The sequence below is a fragment of the Homo sapiens genome, chromosome 2 (genome assembly GCF_000001405.40).
Source record: "Homo sapiens chromosome 2, GRCh38.p14 Primary Assembly".
NCBI classification, from domain to species: Eukaryota; Metazoa; Chordata; class Mammalia; order Primates; family Hominidae; genus Homo; species Homo sapiens.
In genome coordinates, this window is record NC_000002.12 from 230,024,279 (window position 1) to 230,052,059 (window position 27,781).

General features: G+C 41.5%; 1 protein-coding gene and 1 long non-coding RNA gene across 7 annotated transcripts in view, besides 1 other annotated feature; one reads left to right on the forward strand and one right to left on the reverse strand.

Moving 5' to 3' along the window:
- Positions 1 to 602: 602 nt before the first annotated feature.
- Positions 603 to 27,476, forward strand: LOC107985996 (uncharacterized). The gene is made up of 2 exons (XR_001739919.3): positions 603 to 724; positions 26,571 to 27,476. It is a non-coding gene; the product is annotated as an uncharacterized LOC107985996 (long non-coding RNA).
- The window catches only part of SLC16A14 (solute carrier family 16 member 14), a 33,943-nt gene continuing 16,865 nt past the window's right edge, over positions 10,704 to 27,781 (reverse strand). For 3 of the 6 annotated variants that reach the window (NM_152527.5, XM_017003480.3, XM_011510751.4), the window contains exons 3-5: positions 25,483 to 25,626; positions 21,467 to 22,444; positions 10,704 to 13,253 (exon numbers count right to left, since the gene is read on the reverse strand). In NM_152527.5, coding sequence (NP_689740.2) covers positions 13,102 to 13,253; positions 21,467 to 22,444; positions 25,483 to 25,626 — 1,274 coding nt within the window. In that variant the 3' untranslated portion in view covers positions 10,704 to 13,101. Of the gene's footprint in view, positions 13,254 to 17,283; positions 17,682 to 21,466; positions 22,445 to 25,482; positions 25,627 to 27,781 lie in introns of those variants that run through there. The other 3 variants (XM_005246353.5, XM_047443523.1, XM_011510752.3) reach the window with 2 other exon arrangements.
- Positions 21,728 to 22,927: an enhancer, noted in NCBI's record as "BRD4-independent group 4 enhancer chr2:230910722-230911921 (GRCh37/hg19 assembly coordinates)". NCBI's record gives its function as "activates an origin of replication core promoter dependent on BRD2, P300/CBP, MED14 and CDK7 cofactors, and independent of BRD4, by STARR-seq in HCT116 cells {active_cell/tissue: HCT116}" and the evidence as "EXISTENCE:reporter gene assay evidence [ECO:0000049][PMID:35650434]".

A 27,781-nucleotide genomic window follows, 5' to 3' on the forward strand; every position in this document is an offset into this window, starting at 1 on the left:
TTCACCATGTTGGCCAGGCTGGTCTCGAACTCCTGACCTCAGGTGATCCTCCCACCTCGGCCTCCCAAAGTACTAGGATTATAGGTATGAGCCACCATGCCTGGCCACCATCCTGTTCTTTTGATTAATATTTATGAGACTCATGACTTGACAATCAATCCGACCTCCCACTTTGCAGAGATTAAGCTTATCAGCGTGAACTTCTCTTGGCTTATCTGTCAAGGTTTTGTATAAACAACCTTCCCCTACCTGTGCAGCCTGGCATCATCCCTATTCTTGGTTACTTCAGGCTATTCTTTGAACCTGAGCTCCTCCTGTGCTTTCCGGGTCTGTGTTTTCACCCATGTTGTTCTCCCCTTGCCCCGTCATCATGCCAGCCCCCTAACCAAGTCATGCCCAGCCTCCAGGGCCACTTCACACTTCAGCCATCTCTCCTTCTGATTCCTCTAGCACAAAGTGTGCTGCTGGGATCTTGGGAGTCCTCAAAACCCCTTCAGTCATCTGTGAGGTCAGAACTATTTTCATAATAATACTAGGACATTATTTACCTTTTTCATTCATTCACTCATTCTTTTTTTTTTTTTTTTTTTTTTTTTTTTTAGACAGGATCTCACTCTGTCACCCAGGCTGGAGTGCAATGGCGCAATCTTGGTGCACTACAACTTCTACCACCCAGGCTCAAGCAATCCTCCCACCTCACCCTCCCAACTAGCTGGGACCACAGGTACGTGCCACCATGCCTGGCTAATTTTTATATTTTAGTAGAGATGGGGTTTCACCATGTTGCCCAGGCTGGTCTCAAGCTCCTGGGCTCAAGCAATCCTCCCGCCTCAGCCTCCCAAAGTGCTGGGATTATAGGGAAGAGCCACCAGGCCTGGCCGCTTTTGTATTCATTCTTTCACAAGTAAGCAGTGGAATTTTCCAGAGGCTATGTGAACTGTGATGTTACTCTGATGACTAGTGGAACATATGCTTGTCTATTTTTGTGTTTTCTAGACTTTTCTAAGGTAATAGGTTTAGGGTATGAATATGTTGAATTTTCAGAGGCTAACCTAGTTTGTTTTCAGTACTTCTACCGTGCTCTTGCTAGTTATCTTTGTTATACCTGCTATCTTTTTTTTTTTTGAGACTGAGTCTCGCTGTGTTGCCCAGGCTGGTTTCCAATGATTCTCCTGCCTCAGGCTCCCAAGTAGCTGGAATTACAGGCACGCGCCACCACGCCCAGCTAATTTTTGTATTTTTAGTAGAGACGGGGTTTCACCATGTTGGCCAAGCTGGTCTTGAACTTCTGACCTCGTGATCTGCCCGCCTCAGCCTCCCAAAGTGCTGGGATTACAGGCGTGAGCCACCGCGCCCAGCCTATACCTGCTATCTTTTATGCAACCTTATTCTCATCCAGTAAATTGGTATCCTGAGGTTTACCTGTGTGGAAATACAAGAGGTAGATATACTTTGTTGTCTTACTTTGCAATAATATTTAAAAATACTTTTGTTTTATTTTGTTTTTTAGAGGGAGTCCCACTCTGTCACCCAGGCTGGAGTGCAGTGGTGTGATCTCAACTCACTGCAACCTCCACTTCCCAGGTTCAAGCAATTCTCCTGTCTCAGCCTCCCAAGTAGCTGGGACTACAGGTGCGTGCCACCACACCCAGCTACTTTTTGTATTTTTAGTAGAGATGGGGTTTCACCATATTGGTCAGGCTGGTCTCGAACTCCTGACCTCAGGTGACCCACCCGCCTTGGCCTCCCAAAGTGCTGGGATTACAGGCAGTGAACCACCTTGCCCAGCCAAAAGTACTTTTAAAAATAGCTTTTAAACCCTAAAATGTGAATTCTAGGATTTAATATTTTATTGAAAACTTAAACATTTATATTTTTATTCTATTTAAAGATGGATCATTTGCTTTAAAGGGGGATATGGGAAATCTTGCTTTCTTAGCCCACAGCTGCACTGAGACTAAAGATGCTAAAAAAAGATGAAACTGACATATTAAGGAGTTTTCAAACTCACATAAGGGAAAAACTAGTAAAAAGAAGTATAAATATGACTCAGAAGGTATTTTTCCTTGGCTTTATAGTGTTAAAAATTTACCTTTTTTGGTACCCCTCAAGTTACGGCATCACTTTGAGAGGAATCATTCAGAGTTTAAAGAAAAAAGGAGTTGAATATTTTAAATGTAGATATGATGTTTCTTAAAAGCCCAGAATGTATCATTACAGCTTTTTAAACCAAAATGAAAAAGCCGTTGAAGTGGGTAAGTTACCGTACTGCCCTGAGAAAGGCGGACAAGCCCATTCAGCTGGCATTGCCAAGTGCTTGCTGGATGGAAACTCAGCAAAAGAAAATCACAACGGTGCCACTTTTTTTTTTTTTTTTTTTGAGGTGGAGTCTCCCTCTATCCTCCAGGTTGGAGTGCAGTGGCGTGATCTCTGCTCACTGCAACCTTTGCCTCCTGGGTTCAAGCAATTCTCCTGCCTCAGCCTCCCAAGTAGCTGGGATTACAGATGCCCGCCACCACGCCCACCAAATTTTTGTATTTTTGGTAGAGACACGGTTTTGCCAAACAGTGCCACTTTCTAATGACACAGTAACTTGTCATATTAAAGCTCTAGCAGCAAACATGAAGGATGAGTTAATCTCTTCTCTGCATATTGTGCTGATGTCTTATAAATGGCCAAGTCAGTAGATTAGGTTGCGCTTGATGTTTTGCTTGTGTTCATCCGGTATCAACACTGACTAATCAAAGTCCTTTATTTTTTTTTTGAAACAGGCCGAACAATACCACTATTCTTACTCTTTTTTTTTTTTTTTTTTTTTTTTTTTTGAGACAGAGTCTCACTCTGTCGCCCAGGCTGGAGTGCAGTGGCCTGATCTCGGCTCACTGCAAGCTCCGCCTCTTGGGTTCATGCCATTCTCCTGCCTCAGCCTCCCGAGTAGCTGGGACTACAGGTGCCTGCCACCACACCCGGCTAATTTTTTGTATTTTTAGTGGAGAGGGGGTTTCACCGTGTTAGCCAGGATGGTCTCGATCTCCTGACCTCGTGATCCACCGGCCTCAGCCTCCCAAAGTGCTGGGATTACAGGCGTGAGCCACCGTGCCCGGCCACTCATTTTTTTAAGAAGTGGTTACTTTTTCTCCCTCCATCACCCAGGCTGAAGTGCTGTGGCACCATCTCAGCTCACTGCAACCTCCGCCTCCCGGGTTCAAGTGATTCTCATGCCTCAGCCTCCCAAGTAGCTGGGATCATAGGCACCTGCCACTACGCCCTGCTAATTTTTGTGTTTTTAGTGTAGACAGAGTTTCACCATGTTGTCCAGGCTGGTCTCAAACTTCTGGCCTCAAGTGATCGGCCTGCCTCGGCTTCCCAGGGTGTTGGGATTACAGGCGTGAGCCACCGCACTATCTTTAATACTGTGTGACAAAGGTGGGAGGAAGCAAGACCGCATCTGCTGCACATCAGAGTGTCACGGTTGTCATGAGGAAAAGCAGTTGTGTGATGAATCGCGAGCTCAACTACCCCTTTTTTCATGAAACACCATGTTTATACTTGGCAGACACATTATTGGAAATGAGGCTATCCCTTCAAGGAAAACAAGTGCAGATTTCCTTGCCAATGATAATATTCAAACTTTCAAAAGAAAAATAATATTTTGGATAATTTACACCAACTTCCATGAGCTTGTCCACTTTCCAATGCTTAAAGTATTTTTAAGTACTTTAAAATACTTTGAAAGTTTTATTACCACCCATCTCATCAGACTGCCTAGTAGTATTAACACATGTGATTCTAAAAATTGAGATGTAATTCACATATCATAAAATTTACCCTTTAAGAGTATATATGGCCAGGCGCGGTGGCTCACGCCTGTAATCCCAGCACTTTGGGAGGCCGAGGCAGGTGGATCACGAGGTCAGTAGATCGAGACCATCCTGGGTAACACGGTGAAGCCCCATCTCTACTAAAAATACAAAAAATTAGCCAGGCGTGATGGCCGGCGCCTGTAGTCCCAGCTACTTGGGAGGCTAAGGCAGGAGAATGGCATGAACCCGGGAGGCGGAGCTTGCAGTGAGCCAAGATCGGGCCACTGCACTACAGCCTGGGCAACAGAGCGAGACTCCGTCTCAAAAAAAAAAAAAAAGAGTATATATGTCAGTGTTTTTTGTATTATATTCAGAGTTGTGCAATCGTCACTGTCATCTAGTTCCAGAACATTTTCAGCACCTCAAAAAGAGACCCCGTACTTATGAGCTGTCACTTTCTATTCCCATCTGTCCCCAGCTCTGGCAATCACTAATATAGTTTCTATTTCTGTGGATTTGCCTACTCCAGACATTCCATATAAATGGAATAACTGATTTTTTACACAAATAATAATTGTGATTTTCAAAATATTGTATAAAATATGAAAAAATTTTAGAAGAGCTACAAAACTCAGTGGAGCAATATTTTCCAAGTGATCAAAACATCATTTTACAAAATCAGAAATGGGCAAAAGATTCAAAGTGTAAACTAGATCAATGGATTTTAATGTAATATTGTATGGGAAGTTTATTCATATGGTTTCAGATTCTACACTACAATGAACCTTTAAGAAATACCACTTCTTGAGTCTGATGTGGTATCAAAAATACATTTAGCAAATATGAGAATCAACCTATTTTCTATTAAGCCAAACATTAATGAAATTTGCAAAAATGTAAAACAATACTACTATTTTTTTTTTTGAGACGGAGTCTTGCTCTGTCACCAGGCTGGAGTGCAGTGGCGTGATCTCGGCTCACTGCAACTTCTGCCTCCCAGGTTCAAGTGATTCACCTGCCTCAGCCTCCCGAGTAGCTGGGATTACAGGCGCCCGCCACCACGCCTGGCTAATTTTTTGTATTTTTAGTAGAAACGGGGTTTCACCATGTTGGCCAGAATGGCCTCGATCTCTTGACCTCATGATCTGCCTGCTTCAGCCTCCCAAAGTGCTGGATTACAGGCATGAGCCACCGCGCCTGGCCAAACAATACTACTGTTCTTACTCATTTTTTTAAAAAAGCAGTTACTTTTCATAAAAATGTTACTTATATTAACATAGTAGTTTCAATATTATTATTTTAAAATGAAGAAATATGTAAATGTTTTTTAATTTCTCAGTTTTGATTTTTCTGTTTTTTTAAGACAGAGTCTCACTGTGTCACCCAGGCTGGAGTGCAGTGGCATGATCACAGCTCACTGCAGCCTCAATCTCTCAGCTAAAGTGATCCTCCTACCTCAGCCTCCCGAGTAACTAGGACTATAGGTGTGCCCCACCATGCCTGGCTAATTTTTGTACTTTTTTGTAGAGACATGGTCTCACTCTGTTGCCCTGCCTGGTCTCAAATTCCTGGGCTCAAGTGATCCTCCTGCTTCAGCCTCCCAGAGGGCAGGAATTACAGGTGTCATCCACTGAGCCCGGCCCTCAGTTTCAATTTCTAATATGGTGAATATTGGTAGATATAGCCAGCAAAAGCCAAATATCTTTGGTTCCTCGTTGGTTTTTCAGAGTATAGAGGAAGGAATAGTAACTGTCAATCACATCCCAACAATTTATGAATACACATTTTACAGTTTTTAAAAACATAAGCTTTTTTTCTTTTCTTTTCTTTTCTTTTCTTTTTTAAAGCCTGTGGGAAACATGGGCTTTCTAATGGAACTATTTTTCTTTCTCTTCTTCTTCTTTTTTTTTTTTTTTGAGATGGAGTTTTGCTCTTGTTGCCCAGGCTGGAGTGCAATGGCATGATCTCGATTCACTGCAACGTCCTCCCAGGTTCAAGAGATTCTCCTGCCTCAGCCTCCCGAGTAGCTGGGATTACAGGCATGCGCCACCATGCCTGGCTAATTTTGTATTTTTAGAAGAAACGGAGTTTCTCCATGTTGGTTAGGCTGGTCTCGAACTCCTTACCTCAGGCCTGCCTCAGCCTTTCAAAGTGCTGGGATTATAGGCATGAGCCACCACGCCTAGCCATGGAACCATTTTTCAATGTGGAATAGGACATATTTACTAACATCCAGATATATTTCGTTTCTCTGAAATAAGAAGCCAAAAGTATGTAAGATTAAACTAATATTTAGTACTGAATGTCATAGCATTATATCTTATTCGGAAATGACCTACATATTTAATGAATATTTATCATGTAATTTGCCTTAGCAAAACTCTAAGGATATAGAAACCTTTTATTTTGTTTTATTTTTTGAGAAGGAGTCTCACTCTGTCACCCAGGCTGGAGGGCAGTGGTATGATCTCAGCTCACCGCAACCTCTGCTTCCTGAGTTCAAGCAACTCTCCTGCCTCAGCCTCCCAAGTAAACTGGGATTATAGGCATGTACCACTACACCCAGCCAATTTTTGTATTTTTACTAGAGACGGGGTTTTGCCATGTTGGCCAGGCTGGTCTCGAACTCCTGACCTTAAGTGATCTGCCTGCCTTGGCATCCCAATGTGCTGGGATTACAGCGTGAGCCACTGGGCCCAGCCTAGAAACCTCTTAAAGTAAATATATTATAAAACATAATTATTATGTCAATTTATAAACTTTTTTCCTATTTACATTTATTTTAATTATTCTTTTTTTTTTTTTGAGACGGAGTCACACTCTGTCGCCCAGGCTGGAGTCAGTGGTGCGATCTCGGCTCACTGCAACCTCTACCTCCTGGGTTCAAGCTATTCTCCTGCCTCAGCCTCCCGAGTAGCTGGGACTACAGGTGCACACCACCATGCCTGGCTAATTTTTGTAATTTTAGTAGAGATGGGGTTTCGCCATATTGGCCAGGCTGGTCTCGAACTCCTGACCTCAGGTGATCTGCCCACCTCGGCCTCCCAAAGTGCTGGGATTACAGGCATGAGCCACCGTGCCCAGCCTTATTCTTTCTTAACAACTATGTTTGGAAAAATTTCATGAGCCGTTAGACAAATCTAGCCATCATCTCAACTTAAATTTTGTATTAACCATTTTGCTATTAATATTATCATATGTTATCTAAGTATCATAAAAGCAATCACCTTAACATTAAATACATGCATATTTTGCTGATAAGTCAAAAGACATTTGTTTTTATTAAACCAACTATATTAAACTACTCATATTTACCAAAAGATTTACTCAAGTCACAAGAACTTGAAAAATATTTGGGCTTATTTATTTAATTTTTGATTACTCATTTATTGTTACGGCAATTTGGTACCATGTAGACAATATCCAAACACAAGTATAGACATATGTGTATATGTAGACACAACATATAACTAAAACACATAAACATGTATGCATCTGAAAGTTGAAAAGATCAAGGAATTCAATATAAAAGAAAGTAGAGCTAGGTCGGGCATAGTGGCTCATGCCTGTAATCCCAGCATTTTGGGAGGCCGAGGCAGGAGGGTCACTTGAGGTCAGGAGTTTGAGACCATCCTGGCCAACATGGTGAAACCCCATGTCTACTAAAAATATAAAAATTAGCCTGGCGTGGTGGCATGTGCCTGTAGTCCCAGTTCCCCAGGAGGCTGAGGCAGGAGAATTGATTGAACCCAGGAGGCAGAGGTTGCACTGAGCCAAGATCATGCCACTGCACTCCAGCCTGGGTGACAGAGTGAGACTGTCTCAAAAAAAACAACAAAAAAAGAGTAGCACTTTAGACTGAGAGGAGCCTGTCCACCCACGATTCTTGGGGCTCCGTGAGGAAAAACAGAGGTACCCTACCCAAAAAGGAGGAGTCTGTGATGTCCTTTCTGTGTTCCTGAAGGGTCCTTGGGCTGCTAGAAGTTTTCTTGGTGTCAAAAGTGGCAAGAGGAAGAAGAGACAGTAGTAAATGGAAGAACAAGTCCTAGAGTAGCCACTTTCAGAAGCTCTTGTTTTCCAAATGGCCAGTAAGGTTTTACATTATCCTTGGCAAAAATCATGTCAATGAGAGGAGAAACAGAGGGAGCACATATAGTTAGCAGGAGTTTCGCAAGAAATTCAGTTGACTGAGAAGCTGTTACAGAGAGAACAGAGGACTCAAATAAATGTATGTATACATATATAGCCTAAATATTGGTTTTAATTAAATGTACTTTCGACTATACAGCTCTTAAAATATTTTTATCAGGTTTTAGCTGGGTTAATAGCAAACATTCCTGTTTCCTGGTTTTTTCTTTCTGAAATTTACACCAATGGTGGGGTGTATTTGTTTATTAGAGGTCTAGAGGAATCACTATTTAAAGCTGTTTGTGTCTGAAACCCAAGTTTCAGAACTGTAACACTAGCACTTGTAGTCTGTATCTTTCATTTGACAAGTGGTCATTCCTAGTGATAGTTCTTTAATTGTTTCATTGAACTTTGCTACTTCTTATTTTTTTTGAGACAGAGTCTCACTCTGTCACTCAGGCAGGAGTGCAGTGATGTGATCCCGGCTCCTGAACTGCAACTTTGAACTCCTGGGCTCAGGTAGTTCTCCCACCTCAGCCTCCAAAGTAGCTGGGACTGCAGGTGCACACCACAACACCCAGCTAACTTTTTAAACTTTTTTGTAGAGACAGGGTCTCACTATGTTACCTAGGCTGGTCTCAAACTCCTGGGCTCAAGCCTCAGCCTCCCAAAGTGCTGACATTACAGGCGTGAGTCACCACACCCAGCCCTACTTCTTTCATATTATTAATTACACCTTTTTTTGTTTGTTTTTGATATGGAGTCTTGCTCTGTCGCCCAGGCTGGAGTGCAGTGGCATGATCTCGACTCACTGCAGCCTCTGCCTGCTGGGTTCCAGCAATTCTCCTGCCTCAGCCTCCCAGGTAGCTGGGATTACAGGCACATGCCACCACACCTGGCTAATGGTTGTATTTTTAGTAGAGATGGGGTTTCACCATGTTGACCAAGCTGGTCTCGAACTCCTGACTTCAGGTGATCCAGCCACCTTGGCCTCCCAAAGTGCCGGGATTACAGGCGTGAGCCACCATGGCAGGCTCTAGCTTCATTTAAACACGTCAGGAGTCATTTCCCTTGGCTTTGTTATCACTCTTCCTGCACTGGAGTAGTAGGTTACTTATGCATGCAGGCTGCTTGAGGGCAGGGGTTTTGCATTAGCCTGCCTTGCTCCTATAGAAGCCCAGTCCACATTTGTTGATTGGAAAAGGACCGAGTAAAAGATTATATACTGTGAAGTCTTTATAGATAGTAATTGACCAGAATGCTGTATAAAAGGAAATAACGAGAGAGGTTCAGGACAAGTATTTGAAATTCACTGGAATATTTTGCCCTTAAATATGTTGAGACCGGGTGTGCGATTTTAATATGCATAAGAATCTACTGAGAAGCTTATCTAAAAAGGGAGATTTACTGGTCCCATTCTCAATTCTCTAGGTTTTAAGTAGGCCCAAGTATCTGCATTCAAAATAATTTTGGATACAAGTTTTAAATTGAAAAAGCATTATGTACATAAGGAAAAAAAAATCAGACCTACCTTAGTCCCCAGATTTTCTTCCCTGGAGCCAACAACTATTAATGTTTTCTTATGTTTCCTTATGTTTCTTCCCAGCAATTGTCAATTCATGTCTAAGCCTATTATATATATGAATGACTTTTTTTTTGTAATGAAAACATATAATTGGGGGCATATTAAACATATTGCTTTATCTTGCTTTTTTTTTTTTCTTTTTTTCTTGAGACAGAGTCTTGCTCTGTCACCCAGGCTGGAGTGCAATGGCACAACCCAACTCCTGGGTTCAAATGACTCTTCTGCCTCAGCCTCCTGAGTAGCTGGGATTACAGGTGCCCACCACCACGCCCAGCTAATTTTTGTATTTTTAGTAGAGATGGGGTTTCGCCATATTGCCCAGGCTGGTCTCAAACTCCTCAGCTCAAAGTGATCCATCCGCCTTGGCCTCCCAAAGTGCTGGGATTACAGGCATGAACCACCACGCCCAGCCTATCTTGCTTTTTTTTTTTTTTTTTTTTTTTAAAAGCACTATATCTTCAGGCTGTTTCCTAATTCTACATATAGATCTGCCTTTTTTGTTTAATAATTCTATAAATTCCGCTGTATTATTGTCTATACTTTAAAATACTTTATACTGTATTTTAACAGTTGTACTATACTTTAACGGTTATCTATTGGTAGACATTTAAATTCTTTCCAGTCTTTTTTTTTTAATTTTTTTTATTTGAGAAGGAGTCTTGCTGTGTCGCCAGGCTGGAGTGCAGGGGCGCGATCTCAGCTCAGTGCAACCTCCACCTCCCGGGTTCAAGCGATTCCCTTACCTCAGCCTCTCAAGTAGCTGGGACTACAGCCGCCCGCCACCACACCAGGCTAATTTTTTGTATTTTAGTAGAGACGGGGTTTCACCATGTTGGCCAGGATGGTCTCAATCTCCTGACCTCGTGAACCGCCTGCACCCGGCCCAGTCTTTTATATAACAAACCATAAACAAAAAATCCTTACATATTAGTCTGTGTTCACATGTAGAAAATGATGTTAGAAATACAATTGCTGGATTCAAAGATGTGTGCATTTTAAATTTAATACTTAGACTCAGCACTTTTCATAATCATTCTAGGTGATTCTGTCCATGTGGTTTGTGAATATACCTAGAGAAATAGTTTTTCAGGGGAAAGAATGAAACAAATAATTACCACCTACATTTTAGGATTATTCTCTTCGAGGCCAACAAAATAGAAATTTTATACAAAAACTCACTGACCGTCTTCAAAGAGGACAACATTTATTTAGTTGTATGTAAATAAAAATTACTTGGATACATGAGGGGAAAACGATAAAGCACATGATATAAATATACAATTAACCCTTTATAATATCTTCAAACAACGGCAAATAACATAAACAGGAAATATTTGCAGTAATTCTTTACAGTATTCTCTTTTACTCTGTTGTCAACATGAATACTGCAAGCAGGTCTTTATTTTTTTTGACAATGGGAACTTCCACTCATTCGGTAGAAGTCACCACTTTCAAAACATAGTAAGTCAACACACAACTGTACAAACTGAACGTGAGCAAGTCTAACTTAGATGTAATTAGAGTTGAGTCATTGGATAAAAAGTTCATATTGATGATACACAACCAGCAGTGCAAGCATTCAAATACATTGGCTATAGCACCATTTAAAATATTTAACACTGCCTCTTGTTAGTTTGATGTTGTCGGAAAATGAAAGTAATGAAGCAATGTAGTTTTTAAAACATACAACATGTGTTTCAATCTAATCATCCTAATTCTATGGTAAATTACACAGAGAGAGATAGAGGAGGGAGCATTGCCTCAGCTTTAAGATTATCTTTATCAAAATAGAGAGCTGGATTCTTTAACAGCAGCCAAAGCTGTAATGATAACACATAGGTTGTTGTGTTGAACCAAATGGAGTATGACATGCAATCTATTGTCTATAATAATTTACAGGCAATTCCCGAGTCATTGGAGGTAATATTAAGTATATATATTAACCATGCTTTTGTCTCTCCTTTCCATTAGCTGCCTTTTATTATTTTGGTGGTCCTTTCATTACACAACCACTCCCACTATACATTAGAGCAGGAAATAATGGAGATGGAACAAAAAGAGAACTTGTCCATTGAATCACTTGTTAACAGCTCAGAAGGGCATGGTTGAGTATAACTGAAACTGCTGGCTAAAATTACGCTTGGGGTGGCATTGTTTGATTCCAATTCCTAGTAGCATTCCTGCGTCTAATTGTGAAGGATAATTGAGAATGGGCTGTATTCACTTTAGGTAAATTTGACCTAAGACACTGGCAATGATATTCAAGGATTTGTGTGTGTGTGATGATCAAATTGTGAGTAGAAATTTAAATAGTCTTAAACTATCTGTAAACAAGTAAGGCAGCCAGAAATTTCAAATGATCTGGGAAGAACATTCTGCAGTCTGAAAAACGTTTGGCTTAGAAAAATAGACATCTCAGATAAAGAAAGGGCATTATTAGATGTCATGGATCACAGTCATCTTCTGTATGAAATCAATCAAGAGAACTATTTTTAAAACTGTGCCACGCTCAGGCAAATGAATGGTCTATATAACAACACGAGAGTCTAGAGATGGGCTATTTGTTATCACTACTCCAGTGTCAGATGTGGCACAGACATCTACACTAATGGCATTCCATTTATTATCCTCACAAATTGATAGTGTTATACTTTGGATTAGCAACATTCCTTGGAGATGATTTAACTATTAACTTTATTTGTCAGTTAGCAATTAGTTCTATATTATATTTTTGGGCAGAAGAAACTCAGAAAAAAATATTACAGGCCCCACCTCATGCTTATATCATCTAAGAGGCCAATGATACGAATAAAAGTGCTTGAATTGTAGCCCTTGATTTAATGTTGTGCGTACAAATACGGCTTCTGCTAAGGAAATCATTACTGTTATTTCTTTGTTAAGGTTTTGTCTCAAGATTCCATTTATAACTGGATAGCACTGAATTAGGATTAATGGCAAGTGCCTTCTTTTAGAGGAGGATTTAGGAGTCACAATCCCTAGCTGCAGAATTCCCTCATAAAAATACAAGCCGTGTTTCTTTAATTGCACTAAATTGTATTACCTGTGGAATTAGAGCTTGCCTTTGTTTGATGCTAGTAGATCAATAGCTCCCTGTAATAATTAATTTCTGAAATCTAGTCATATTCTTGTGCTTGAAACCCATTTATCTGTAAGCTTTCTGGAAGCACACAGATACTTCAGTTTTGTCTTACAAAGAAGTGGTTGAGTTGAAAAGCTTTTATTCCCTGTTTTTGTTTTTAAAAGCTGTATTTAAAACCCTAGTCCCAGTAGATGACAAGAGAATGGTTTTTATAAGGGCATTTCTACCAATTACTTACTAGGCTGTCTTTGAACAACACTGTCATCTCTAGAATGTATGTAGTCCTTAAGATCTTCCAGCATTACATCTCCCCAAACAGAGAGGCAGTGCTGCTTACAAATGAGGCTGTGACAATGGCATTTACAAATGACAGTGCCAGTTACCGTACAAAATGCTTTCCCACGTCCTGTCATAGGTGCCTCACAGCAACCATGCGAGGTAGGCATGAGTATTACAATGAAACCTACACGGAACATTACATGATACTAAACATGTGCACCATCCATGTATTTTCTTCTGGATTGTTCTATAATTCGAATGCACGGCTGAATAAGTAAAAAGAGTATTCCTATCATGTAAAGCAAACCACATATGTAGAAGGAAAAATCATATTTTTGCGTGATGTCATAGATCCACCCTACAAAACAAAAAAGAATATATTCAGTGTCATGGAGTTGATACAATGAAAGTGAAGAACATGAAGCAGGCATTTATTGCTGCTGTACATGTTTCTACAAGAATTTATATGTCATTTCATACCAATAAAATGTTTCATTTATCCATTTCTTTTCCTTTTTTTTTTTGTTTTTTATATTTTTTGGTTCTCATTTAGCCATTTTAAAGGGTGTGCTGTACACCAGTGTTCCCCGTGCCTACGGAGGACTGCATTCGTTAAGCCACTTGGTTGCTTTGGAAGGCATTTGAAGCAATTCCCAGCTGACTCATGGGGAGAACCTTCTGGTTCACTCAAAGGCCCGCACAAGGCCAGCAGTGAAATGCGAATCCAATGATTTTCTTTTTTCACAAGTGCAAACACGCATTTTTCTAAAACCTACAAAAACGATTCTGAAGTTTTTAGTGTGTATCAAAAGAGGCTGGGCAGAAGACATTTGAACTTTCTTCATTCATTCTGAAGTATTTGAGGGTACACATTTGTTCTAGAAAGAATCAAAATCTTCAGGTGTTATAAAATTCACATTTACAGTCACAAAACTTTAATATTTACATTTATAAAACTCTAAGTTGCCAAAGATACTGCCATAGATGCTGACTAAATTATGTTATTTTCAAATAATAATTTAATATTATAATCTAACAGCTTAATATAATAATCTTATTAGACATTCTGTAAAATACCACTATATTTCATGAATTCTAAGACAATGATGTGCCATTATTTTATGTATCAGTAAGAAATAAATATCCTTGTCAATTCAAATATGACTCAGTATTTCCTCAGGACTTTGTAAAAGGCATTCTAATTTGAGACATTAAAATATGAGAAAAATGTGTCTCAGAATCTATGAAATATGTTTCCTATATTTCAGTGATTAATTCTAAGAATGGATCACAAGTCATGGTTCCCACATAGTCAACTACGCAAACTGAGAGGATTGAGTTACACACAAGAGTTTTATTTATGGTAAAAATGTAAATTTTGAACATTCATTTTTTTCCCTTTTAGTAAGTACATTAATTAGCAGAGACTTAAAATATAAATGATTTAGTGGCCAGGATCAGTGGCTCACACCTGTAATCCCAGCACTTTGGGAGACCAAGGCGGGCAGATCACATGAAGCCAGGAGTTCGAGACCAGCCTGGCCAACATGGCAAAACCCCCATCTCTACTAAAAAATACAAAAATTAGCTGGGTGTGGTGGTGCATGTCTATAATCCCAGCTACCCAGGAGGCTGAGGCATGAGAATTGCTGGAACCCAGGAGGCAGAGGTTGCAGTGAGCTGAGATCGTGCCACCGCACTCCAGCCTGGGCAACAGAGCAAGACTCCATCTCAAAAAATAAAATGAAATAAAAAAATAAGATTTTATGATCAAACATAGTATTCCGTGGCCACTTTTCAGAAACATCTTTAAAAAAATCGAATTGGCAAATGAATGCGTAAATGCACTTAAACTTCTCCCATCAAGAAACAGCCACACAAAAGCAACCAGGAAAGGTGTAAACCAGTCCCTCCGACTTCCTGGTTGTTATCTGTATCTCTTTGTTTATTGTATCTAGTGTGTGATGAATATGCCTGGATTATCTATTTACAGGGATCAGTCAAGACATTCATAAAGAAAAACAAACAATAGCATACAAATTTATAATCTTTTCTTTAAAAAAACAACTCGTTAAAAGGTATGAATTCTGGATCTACTTTAAAAGTAAACCAAGTTTTTGAATTTGTTATTTGATGTAAAAAATAGAAAAGAAAAAAAAAATCTGACTCTTTAGAAGTGACTCAGTAAAGTGTTCTATCATCTTTTCTTAATCTATAATTGGAGACAAGGGGGACAAAAAAGATTAAACGTAATCCAAAAATAATGCTTCAGCTTCAGAATTGAATTGGAAAGGCACATTGACACTGACCTATGAACAAAAACACACCCAACTTCTACTCAGTGTTACCAGTTGGCAACTGTGGACCATTGTGAATTAGGACAAAATGAACAATTCACTTGCAGATAATGCAGAGTGATCTGTATCTGCAGAATACATGATGGGAATAACTGTAATCTACAATTTTAAAAAAATCAATAAATACAAATGAGGTTCTCATAGTCCACTCATCTCCATAGGAAAGCTGACTAGGTCATTTTAATGGCTAAATCCCCGCTGTCCACATGATCAAGTGATTGAGAGCAGAAATGATGGCTGTAACTAACAAACAGCTGAACGGCTTGTTTCAAATGGCTGAAACAAGTCAAACAGTTATTGCTGTTTAACGTGAACCTCGAAAATAGGACAAAATCCTACCTGGCTGGAAAATTAAGCTGTATTTCGTTCAGACTATTTATTTACGTTTTGGTGGAAGTGGTTGATTATAAGCTCCAGGCTCTGTGATGTGGCCCCTGCCTACATCTCTCCCCCGCTCATCAGCACAAGCCATGCTGAATTTGTTAGCATCTCAAATACATTTCTCTTGGCTCCTTGTCTGAACATGTCCTGTTCCCCCTTCTGGGTGGGATAGTAATAAATACTGTCACCCTCAGAGCACCCTAGGATCCCCTTTTCCCCATCCCATCCTTCATCTTTACTCTGCAGAATATAAAAAATGTCTGTTAAGTATATTACATATTGCTACAGTCTTAAATTGAATTCATTATTATTATTATTATTATTTGGGACGGAGTCTCACTCTGTCACCCAGGCTGGAGTGCAGTGGCACAATCTCAGCTCACTGCAGCCTCCACTCCCCCGGGTTCAAGCAATTCTCCTGCCTCAGCCTCCCGAGTAGCTGGGATTACAGGCGGCATGCGCCACCACACCTGGCTAATTTTTGTATTTTTAGTAGAGACAGGGTTTCCCCATGTTGGCAAGGCTGGTCTCAAACTCCTGACTTAGATAATCCACCCGCCTCAGCCTCCCAAAGTGCTCGGATTACAGGCGTGAGCCACTGTTCCCGGCCAAATTCATTATTATTATTATTTTTTTTTAAAAACTGTCCTCTTTCCTCTAAAAATATAAGCATGTGTAAAAGCATCTCCACATGCCCAAGCTTCAAACATAACTCATGTCAGTTTTTTTTAAAAAAAGCACATCCAACTTCACTGAACAATTTAACATAGTGCAAATTGTAGGAGTAGTCCTAAATTTCATGTCAAGTTAATCCCATAGGTTTTCTCCAATCCACCTTTAGGATTTATTTATAAATAACTCTGGATCCTGCCATCTCCCTTTGGTGCCTGTTTTAATATTTCTGCTAGTTTAAATTCAAACCCAGTCGGATGTAAAGCAGGTCAAGAGAGACAGGACTCTACCAGGAGCTTTGACTCTCAGCACAAGTTGACACAACTTTTTCAGAGAGAAGAGAGTTCCTACAAGCTGCCCTCCTCATGCATCCTTCACCACCCCTCCTGCAGGTTTGACCTCAGTTCTTGGATTTGGAACCCGGGATTCTTGGCAACCCTGGATTCTTGGCAACCCTCATCCAAGCACCAATTCAAACCTACAGCTTCAAAGTAAAATCTGGTTCCCTGTTAAAGTGCATTTTCTTTTCATTTGAGTCTGTCAAATAAGTAATAGATGTTTTTCGTATTAATTAAATAAAGGCTCCCAGCTTTTGGTGGAAAACATTGCAAATTATTGTTAAGGTGTTAGATTTTATGTGAATGGAAGAGATGTGTGTGGAATATTGGTCGGTCAAATCTGATGGCTGAGGTTTTGCCATATTATATACTGAAACATCTAGGAAAGTATGTACTACTATTACATAATTTTGTTTTATTTTATTTTATTTTATTTTAATTTTGAGACAGAGTCTTGTTCTTGTTGCCCAGGCTAGAGTGCAGTGGCATGATCTCAGCTCACTGTAACCTCCGTCTCCCGGGTTCAAGCAATTCTACTGCCTCAGCCTCTCAAGTAGCTGGGATTACAGGTGCCTAATTTTTGTATTTTTATAGAGATGAGGTTTCACCTTGTTGGCCAGGCTGTCTCCAACTCCTGACCTCAGGTGATCCGCCCATCTCCGCCTCTCAAAGTGCTGGGATTACAGGCATGAGCCACCGCACCCAGCCTATATTACATCTTTAAAGGGGTTGAACAAAATGCCCAACAATATTATAAATAAATTAGAACAAGAAGTCCATGCTGCTGAATGACATGGTTGAAATGTCTGTTCAATATCTCTGATTCTACATTCTTGAAACTGTTTTTTTTTAAAAAGAAGGTGATGTGAACAGTAATTTTCCTTGCAGCAAACCCAGCTAAGTAATAATTTCTAGCACACCTCGAATTTCTAGCAAGAGTGCAATGTGGTCATTTAGTCACGCATGTTGCCAGTCACTCTGAGCCCACAGTGCACATAAACGGTGGCTTGCATCTCATTGCAATCTTGGCTTCTTGGCCTGGAAAGTCAATAAATGAAACATCATGCAGGTAGCCAATGAATGTTGTTCATCATTCCTTAGAGCATGAATTCAATGGAAGATGAAGAAACCAACAAATGCAAATAAAGAAAGTCCCCTTTAGCTTGCTGGCCTAGACAGGCACATCTGAATGTTGATTTTGGGGTTTCCATAGCAGCATATGATACGCATCATTGAAGGCTCCCAACCATTAATACAACGATTTCTACCGTCCATGGTGGATCCCATTCCACTACAGAATCCACCTCTGGGGAGGAACCTTGAAGCAGTCAAGAGATAAGACCTGATGACTGAGGGTTGAGTATAACTCCCTGTCATCTACTTATCATTCCTTTCTCTTCCACTCAAGAAAGCTCACTAGAATGCAGATGAGTGGACAGCACATGACCACAGGGAAGGGATAAGGAAACTATCCTGGCAAACTCTGGTGCGTTGACTAACATTGCCCATGAGAATTACTCATGCCATACCTCACAGTTGTGTTGTGATGCTACCATTGAAATCTGACAGATCAAGACAAAACAACCCAAGCCTGCCCATTAGAAGAAAGTACCCCTGGATCATGCAAAGAACCATCAGTGACAGAGTCCATTTCTGCATACAGTGTATCTGAAGGACCTCCAACAAGAGGGTGGAGGAGCCACTACTAGGTCCCCATACCTCCAATGGATATTTAACATCTCTAGCAGGCACCATTGGCGGACTGATTCAACTGCCAATCCCAATTCTTTTCTCCTTTCCTTCCTCTAGTACAGAGGCTGGAAAGCAAAATACTGCATTCACAGCTCCCCTTGAAGCTTGAACTAGCTGTGTGATATAGTTCTGGCCAATCAGATGTAAGTGGAATTTTGCTGGGACTGAGCCTTTCCCCACTTCCTTCTCCCTGCTATAAATGATGATGTAGTGGCTGGAGATACAGCAACCATTGTGTCACCATGAGGCAGTCAGCATGAGGAAAGGGCCAAGAGGATGTCTGAGACGTTGCCCCAATATCCTCCAGTCCCTGAACTCTATATTTCTGGTTATGTGACAGAAATCTGCTTAAACTATCATTGTCAGGATGTTATAATCAAATGCGTTCTGACCTGACAGAGAATTTTACATAATGAGATCAGTGAGCAATTTTAGACCTTTCAGCTGCCAGTATAGTTTGCTCCGTTGCTATAGTCAATTTTCACCTAAAAATGCTGCATCTGCATTTCTGTGCACAGGCAGACAACAGGAGCAGCTTGCTCCAGGAGGAGTCCTATATGTAGCCCTGGGGATTCCTAAAGTGACTCTTGGACTTTAAACCTTTAGTCAGCCAACTGCTGGTGTTGTCCGCTGTACAGGCAAAAATCTATGATTTCTTGTACTTCAAATTTCAAGCGGATTTAAAAGCGTGTTTGTTGGTGCAAGCTCTCTGCCAGTGGGGGGTCTTAAGGGAGAGGGTGACTTTATGACTTACAGAAAGACTGGGAAAAAAGGGGGCAGGGAGGGCTTTGTCCTGTACCCATGGGATTCCTTCACCCACTGGGGAGAGATATTCCTGCCAGAAGGTATTAGAATAAAGGGCCTGGAGGGCCCAGACAGGAGGGTGCTTGGGGGTGGCTGGGGAGAGGGGACATCTGAACAGGTGAGGCTCCACTGGGTTAGCCTGAGGCTCTGCACAAAACCTCTAGCAGCTCTGACAATCACCACCAGCCCTGGCTGTCTGAGGGCCACCACCAGAGAGCACCTTTGTGTTGGCATTCTGCCCCAGCCTCTGCCATGCTATGCAGACTCCTGTCTCCAGTTCTTGGACAGAAGACAGACCTCGTTATCTTCACACAGTACCTGGTGTCTTGGGGCATGAGTCTATCTGCCCAAACCTGACTTGCCTTTCCACGAAGGCACTGGCCCAGACACAAGATTCCTTGGTACTCACGGCTTCTGCTATGCCTGAATACCAAGTTCTCTGGTTAATTTGCTTCTTGCAAATGAAGGGAATACATGACAGAGAATGTATCCTAGATGTTGCCAACTAGTGGCCTCCGGGCCTGTGGTAGGCAGAATGCTCCCACCCCCCAAAACACCGAAGTCCTAATTTCTGGACCCAGTGAATATGTGACCTAATAGGGCAAAAGGGACATTGCAGGTGTGATTAATTTAGGACCTGGGCTGGGGAGATGAGCCTGGATTTCCCAGGTGAGCCCAATGTAATCATAGACACCCTTATAAGTGAAAGGAGGTGGCTGGGCATGGTGGCTCATGCCTGTAATCCCAGCACTTTGGGAGGCCGAGGCAGGAGGGATCACAAGGTCAGGAGTTCGAGACCAGCCTGGCCAATATGGTGAAACCCCGTCTCTACTTAAAAAAAAAAAAAAAAATTAGCTGGGCATGGTGGCGCACACCTGTAATCCCAGCTACTCAGGAGGCTGAGGCAGGATAATTGCTTGAACTTGGGAGGCGGAGGTTGCGTTAAGCTGAGATCACGCCACTGCACTCCAGCTTGGGTGACAGAGGGAGATTCCGTCTCAAAAAAAAAAAAAAGTGAAAGGAGGTGGCAGGGAGTCTGAATCAGAGAGAAGTGGGAAGACGTGAGTTACACTGCTGGCTTAGAAGATGGAGCAAGAGGGCACGCGCCAAAGAATGAAAGTGGCCTCCAGATGCTGGAAAAGACAAGGAAACAAATTCCCCCCTAAAGCCTCAAGAAGGAATTCAGCTCTGCTGACCTCCAGAACAGTAAGATAATAAGTCTGTATTTGTGTGTGTGTGTGTGTGTGTGTGTGTGTGTGTATGTGTGTGTGTGTGTGTGTGTGTGTAGATGGGGTTTCGCTGTATTGCCCAGGCTGGTCTTGAACTCCTGAGCTCAAGTGATCCTCCTGCCTCGGCCTCCCAAAGTACTGGAATTACAGGTGTGAGCTACCACTCCTGGCCAATCTGTATTGTTTTAAGCCACCATAAGTTTCTGGCAACTTATTATCGCAACAATAGGAAGCGAATGTAGGGCTGGATCAAGTCCATGGATGTGTTCTGTTGCACCTGCCACATGGTGTTTTGGAAATCTGTTAGTGCTACCTAACAGTACAGATTCTTAGCTTCCCTTGGGGGGAAACAACAACAGAAGATCTGGCAACAATTCTCAGTATTTCTTGGTGACAAAAATCAGCTGGAACTGCCCAGAGGCCACCTTCAAATGGGTAAGGAGCCCGTCAGTATTCCATCACCCCATCCACTTTATTTCCTCACTCTACCAGCCTGGCTGCTTTATCATGTGGATAGGATCAAAAGTTCATCTGCATTTCATCTATATTCTACATAAAAGAATGGCCTTGGCCAGGCGTGGTGGCTCATGCCTGTAATCCCACCACTTTGGAAGGCTGAGGCAGGTGGATCACTCGAGGTCAGAAGTTCAAGGCCATCCTGGCCAACATGGTGAAACCCCCATGTCTACCAAAAACATAAAAAATTAGCCGGGCGTGGTGGTGCACACCTGTAATTCCAGCTACATGGGAGGCTAAGGCAGGAGAATCACTTGAACCTGGGAGGTAGAGGTTGCAGTGAGCTGAGAGCGCACCACTGCACTCCAGCTGGGGCGATAGAGCGAGACTCCGTCTTGAAAAAAAAAAAGAAAGAATAGGCTTTAACTTGCTAAAATGTATAAATGAGAAAGTAAAGGGCAGGAATGGGAAGATAAAAGGAAAATGTACACAAATGGAAACCTTCTTCTTTATCTGGGACTTTATAACATAACGCACCATATGTACATGCACTCTGAGCTCTTAAAACCTCAGAGAGTTTACCTGCAAAAGGTGGTCCCAGCAATGCAGAGATGCCATTAGCACAGATGATGATGCCGTAGGCATTGGCCAGGTGTTCAATGCCAACCAAGTCTTCAGTCACTACGGGCATTAGGGAGAAATAACCACTGGAAAACCCTATCAGCGCACAGATGACCGCCAGGCCAGCGTACGTGTGCATCAACGGCAGAATAAAAATACTGAGGACAAGGGTGAAGTTGGCCAACAGGAAGACATTCCAAACACTAATGCAAGGCAAGTCGGCTATGACGCCCAGGATCACTTTTCCAAAGATGTGAACTATTGCTATAATTGACGTCAGAGGGAAAACGTCGTTTTGCTCCGATAAGTTATACAAATTGACGATTTCTGGGAGGTGAATGAAGGGGATGACAAAGCTGCTGTATGCAAACAAAGCCCAGAAAATAAAGGCTACAAACATTCGATTTGTAAATAGAGAGGCTGTCCCAAAGTAGCCCGAATACCAGTCCTCGAAGCCCTTCCTGACTCTCATGGTGAGCCAGCTGACAGTCTTCAGAATCCGGAGGGCACACATGTTCTTCCTGTGCCCGGCCTGATCGGGGCACTCCTGGGCTTGCAGGTCGCAGAGGGTCTCCTCGTTCCCGAGCCCACCATCCTTCTCTTCTGTTCTTCCCTGCTGTCCAGTTGACTTCACAGATTCTGTGGAGTGCGCTGGCAGGCCACGCACATCTTTCTCTCCTGGGTCGTTTGGGTTTTTACCAGGAGAGAGGGGCCTCATGAGCGCCCCACAAACACACAGGTTTAGGGAAACGGCACCTTGGATCAACATGGCATTCCTCCAGCCGTACTCTGCGCACAGGTACTTCAGCAGCACAGTCATTAGGAACGTACCGAATCCGGTCCCCGTGGTGCTGAGGCCCTGGGCGAGGGCGCGTCTCTTCTGGAAATACCTGCCCACCATGACCACCGCTGGCAGGTAGGCCATCCCGCTGCCCAGGCCTGTACAGGCCGACGGGGGGAAGAAAAGACACAGTGCAACATCAGTGGCCATATCCAGAATTCGCAGCAAAGATCACCTGCATTTCCTTAATTAGCATCTATTTATGCTTTTTATTTCTAACAAAGCAATAACACTGATTATTTAAAAAGCAGCTCCCAGGGATAAGCAGCAGAAAGACCATCCACCCAAGCAGGTTTCTAGCCCGCCATTTTCCCCAACAGGCTTTGCTGCACAAGTTCCTCCAATAACAAAATGGAGCAGCATTCTCCCATCAGAAAAATAGAAGCTCCAGGCAGGCAGGCAGGACCATGTATTTTCACCACTGGTGTGCCCAGGACTGCCCAGATCACATGGCACGTGCTTAGCAAGTAGCTGGGAGAATGAACGTCTTCTCTGAGGGCCTCTGCTGTCTTAAGCCTCCCTTGATTGCACTATGTGTCCAGAGACCCCAACCTGGCTCTTTAGTCTCAGCAAAAGGAGTGTTTATTTCCTCGCCTATAACACAAAAATCCCACTGCTAGCCCTATTCACGGGACTATTATAGGGAAGAGTTTCTAATGTACTCAGGGAAAATATCTGACTTCTTTTTTTTTTTTTTTTTTTTTTGAGACAGGGACTCACTCTGTTGCCCAGGCTGGAATGCAATGGTGCGATCACAGCTCATTGCGTCCTCGAACTCCCCAGGCTCAGATGATCCTCTCACCTCAGTCTCCCAAGTAACTGGGACTATCACCGTGTGTGGCTAATTTTTGTATTTTTTTTGTAGACACGTGGTTTCACCATGTTGCCCAAGCTGGTCTCAAACTCCTGGGCTCACGCAATTCACCTGCTTTGGCCTCTCAAAGTGCTCGGATTACAGGTGGGAGCCACTGCTCCTGGCCAACATCTGACATTTTTAAAGAACTGTTTTAACCAGAGGAATATGTTCTAGTGATCTGTTGTACAATATGGTGACTGTAGTTAGTACTAATGTATTCTATATTTTTCAAATTGCTAAATGTAGATTTTAAATGTTCTCATCACAAGTATGTGAGGTGATGGATATGTCAATTAGCCTTATTCAATCATTCTACAATATATACATGTATCAGAACATCACATTTGACTCCACAAATATTTACCATTGTCAATTACGACTAAAATAGAAATATCAAAAATGTATTATGTATAATAAGGGAAAAAGAGAACTGTTATCAGGTCCTTCAATCAATGGTTTTTAAACTATGCTTCAAAGGATACAGAAGTGCTTTATGTGTGTATGTGTATAGATATATATTACAAGAAGCAACTTGCAGATTTATATGGACAGTAGGTTATTATGTTCACCTTCTCCTCCTGTCAAAAGATACATACTTCAGCTCGTATGTTTTATATATATAACCATATTTACCTATTAGCTAACATTTACTGAGCACTTTGCTAAGTGCTTTATACAAATTATGTCATTTAATCATTTCAACAACCATGTAAACTAAGCTCTCTTCATTATACCCATTTTGCAGGTAAGGAAACTGAGGTATAAGTAGGTTAAATAACTTGCCCAAAGTCACACAGGTAATAATAATGAAAAAAGAAAAGCCAGAATTCCAAGCTCACTTTTAACTCTTATGCTAACGCATTCATTGTAGCTCTGTACTCAAAAAGAGTGTCAAGCTGGATTCAGTTTATTTAAAATGCAATTGTACAAGTAATTACTCATCTGTGTGAATCACACTACCTGCTGATAAAGGAAATTGTGGCTGGGAATATATTTTGCATAATGGATATGCAGATTGTGGTGGCTGGCAGCCAATATTAACCTGTTCACTGGGAATGACAACCTAACTGTACTCTAGATTTGCTTCTTCGTCTCTACATATATGTGTGGTTTATGCTATTTTATGAATTTGAACAGGGCTAAAAGAGTAAATTATTATAAGGCCGGGTGCTGTGGCTGACACCTGTAATCCCAGCACTTTGGGAGGCTAAGGCAGGTGGATCACCTGAGGTTGGGAGTTCGAGACCAGCCTGACCAACATGGAGAAACCCTGTCTCTACTAAAAATACAAAATTAGCTGGGCATGGTGGTGCATGCCTGTAATCCCAGCTACTTGGGAGACTGAGGTGGGAGAATTGCTTGAACCCAGGAGGCGGAGGTTGCAGTGAGCCAAGATTGTGCCATTATACTCCAGCCTGGGCAACAAGAGTGAAACTCCATCTCAAAAAAAAAAAAAAAAAAAAAACAAATGATTATTAAAGAGTAAATGAACGTTATTGGTTTCCTTAATCTTTTTTAAAATATTTACTTATGTATTTATGTTTTTTCTTTTCTATTTTCACACAGGAGGCTTTATTATTATTATTATTATTATTATTATTATTATTGAGACAGAGTCTTACTCTGTCAACCAGACTGGAGTGCAGTGGTGCAATCTTGGCTCACAGCAACCTCTGCCTCCTGGGTTAAAACTATTCTCATATCTTAGCCTGCTGAGGAGCTGGGATTACAGGCAGGTGCCACCGCACTTGGCTAATTTTTTTTTTTTTTTGTATTTTCAGTAGAGACGGGGTTTCACCATGTTGGCCAGGCTGGTCTCGAACTCCTGGCCTCAAGTGATCTGCCCACCTTGGCCTTCCAAAGTGTTGGGATTACAGGCGTGAGCTACTGCCCCTGGCCTATTATTTAGCTTATTTCCCACACCACACTGATGTAATTTCCTTAATCTTTGGTCCATTCACCTAAGTCAACGTTACTGCCTTCCTTTTCCTATTCCTCACTGGAGATAGCATTGGCATTTAGAACCAGGCATATGGAAATATAATTTGATTCTCTTAGGCAGGCCAAGTTTTGCTGTTAGGTGGGCTCCCCCCACTTAAGGCATATTAAAATGTAATGTTAAAATGTATTTCCAGGAGTGTAGGGAGGGGTTGGGGTGAAGTGGGGGGGAGGAAACAGAACAGAATGTTTTAATGTGTCTCTTTTCTCCACAATTAAATCCACTGCCAAGATGTCTTATAAAACATTTAAAATCGAGTTTAAAAAAAGCCACATGCTTACCAGCTGCGACTCCAAAAGTAATGAAGAGATAATGCACGTTTGCAGCATAGGCACTCAACACCCAGCCCAGGGAGTTGACGAGCCCTCCAATGATCGCAGTCTGGCGGCACCCACAGGTGTTAATGAACAAGCCGATGAAAGGGCCTGTCACAGAGCATTGGAAAAGGAATTGACTAAAGGTGCTTCCGTTTTATTCTTTCTCATAAATCTTCATGTGAAGACAAAGAATAAAATGTCACTAGAGCTGTTAAATGACACAAAAAGCCCCCATTGCTTTATATGCCAAACATTTTTAGCATGCAAAGATGATTTTAAGTAATTTCATCAGAGAGCACAAGGTTCTGGATTTTCAGGAAAGGCAGACCTGAAATAAATAGACATTCATTCTTTCATCTACAAGAAAACCAGTGGTCTAGGAGCTATCTCTAGCCTGTGGATACATTTTGTCGATCCCATACAAAGTCTAAAAAATGTCTGGAATTAGTTGCCAATGTTTAAAAATTAAGAGGATTCACAAAAAGTCCAGTGGCAACACAGACTACCTTCCCACAGGACCAAAGTTAGTTGGAGCTGTGCAGTGGCTGAGCCCGTTTGACTGGGACACACCCCTTCCAGTTTGCTGCAGTCTCTATCCTTCCCTCTGGTCTTAAACCTGGCCTCAATTACATTATTTCTTTGGCTTCTTTCCAAATAGAAAGACATTTCAGTTTTTGACTAAAATAGAAATATTAAAAATGTATTATGTATAATGAGGGAAAAAAAGAACTGTTATCGGGTCCTTCAATCAATGGTTTTTAAACTATGCTTCAAGGATACAGAAGTGCTTTATGTGTGTGTCTGTGTACAGACATATATTCCAAGAAGCAACTTGGGGATTTATATGGACGGTAGGTTATTATGTTCACCTTCTCCTCCTATCAAAAGATACATACTTAAGCTTATATGTTTTACATAGGTATCTATATAACCATATTTACCTGTTAGCTAACATTTACTGAGCACTTTGCTAAGTGCTTTATACAAATTATGTCATTTAATGGTTTAACAACCATGTAAACTAAGCTCTCTTCATTATACCCATTTTGCAGATAAGGAAACTGAGACCAAAAGGGAGTACAGGAAGGGAGTCTTCAGAACTCCTGGGCTTCAGGCAGAAAACTAATAGCCTGTTTTCATGAGGATACCCAGATTGAAACCAAGCTGAAAAGAGCTAGTTGTCATCACTTCATACAGACTCCCATCCCGGCTGGTGTGCACAGTCTCTGACCAGACCTATCAGGCTATGGAGATTCGGGAATCCATTTCCATTGTGTAAAATGTGACAACACTCACAGCAGCACAGTATTTTATGAGACGCATTCTGATTGTTTCCTTTACGCTGACTTTCTAGTTTTGTTTTGTTTTCTTGTTTTTGTTTTGATACAGGGTCTCACTGTGTCATCCAAGCTAGAGTTCAGTGGTGTGATCACGGCTCACTGCAGCCTTCACCTCCCTGGGATCAAGCGATCCTCCCATCTCAGCCTCCTAAGTAGCTGGGCCTAGAGGCTTGTGCTATCATGTCCTGCTAATTTTGTATTTTTTATAGAGATAGGGTTTCGCCGTGTTGTTCAGGCTGGTCTAGAATTTCTAGGCTCAAGGGATCTGTCTGCCTTGGCCTCCCAAAGTGCTGGGATGACAGGCTTGAGCCATGGCACCTGGCTGACTTTCTAGTTCTTAATTGTCAACCTTCTTTATTCTCCTCCTGATTTTGTAGTAATTTCTGATGTCACTGAAGCTGAAAGCTTATCTTGTGATCAATGATTCCTTGTTTAAATAGGAATCCAGATTTATATGAGCTAGTACTCAATATTCAGTAAGATGGCATATTTTAATTATCTTATTTTTGATCATTACAAAGTTATGAAACCTTATATGCAGATGAACTATATTAAAAACTTGTTTAAAGAGCTTCCCTTTTGGCTTAAACTGAAATAAAGTTTCCTTTAAAGTTCTAACTATATTCATGTGTATATCTGGGTACAGTCAGCTAATGAGTTTATTTTGTCTAGTGGTTTTGTGGGTGCCTAATCCTAAAAACTATGAAGGTGAAGACTTATTAATTTAATTAACTCTGTTGCATTACAGGAAATAATTCAGTAAATTAACTCCTTAGAATAGACTTAATATATTAAACATACTTTTTTTTTTTTTTTTTGAGACGGAGTTTAGCTCTGTTGCCCAGGCTGGAGTGCAGTGGCGCGATCTCGACTCACTGCAAGCTCCGCCTCCCGGGTTCGCGCCATTCTCCTGCCTCAGCCTC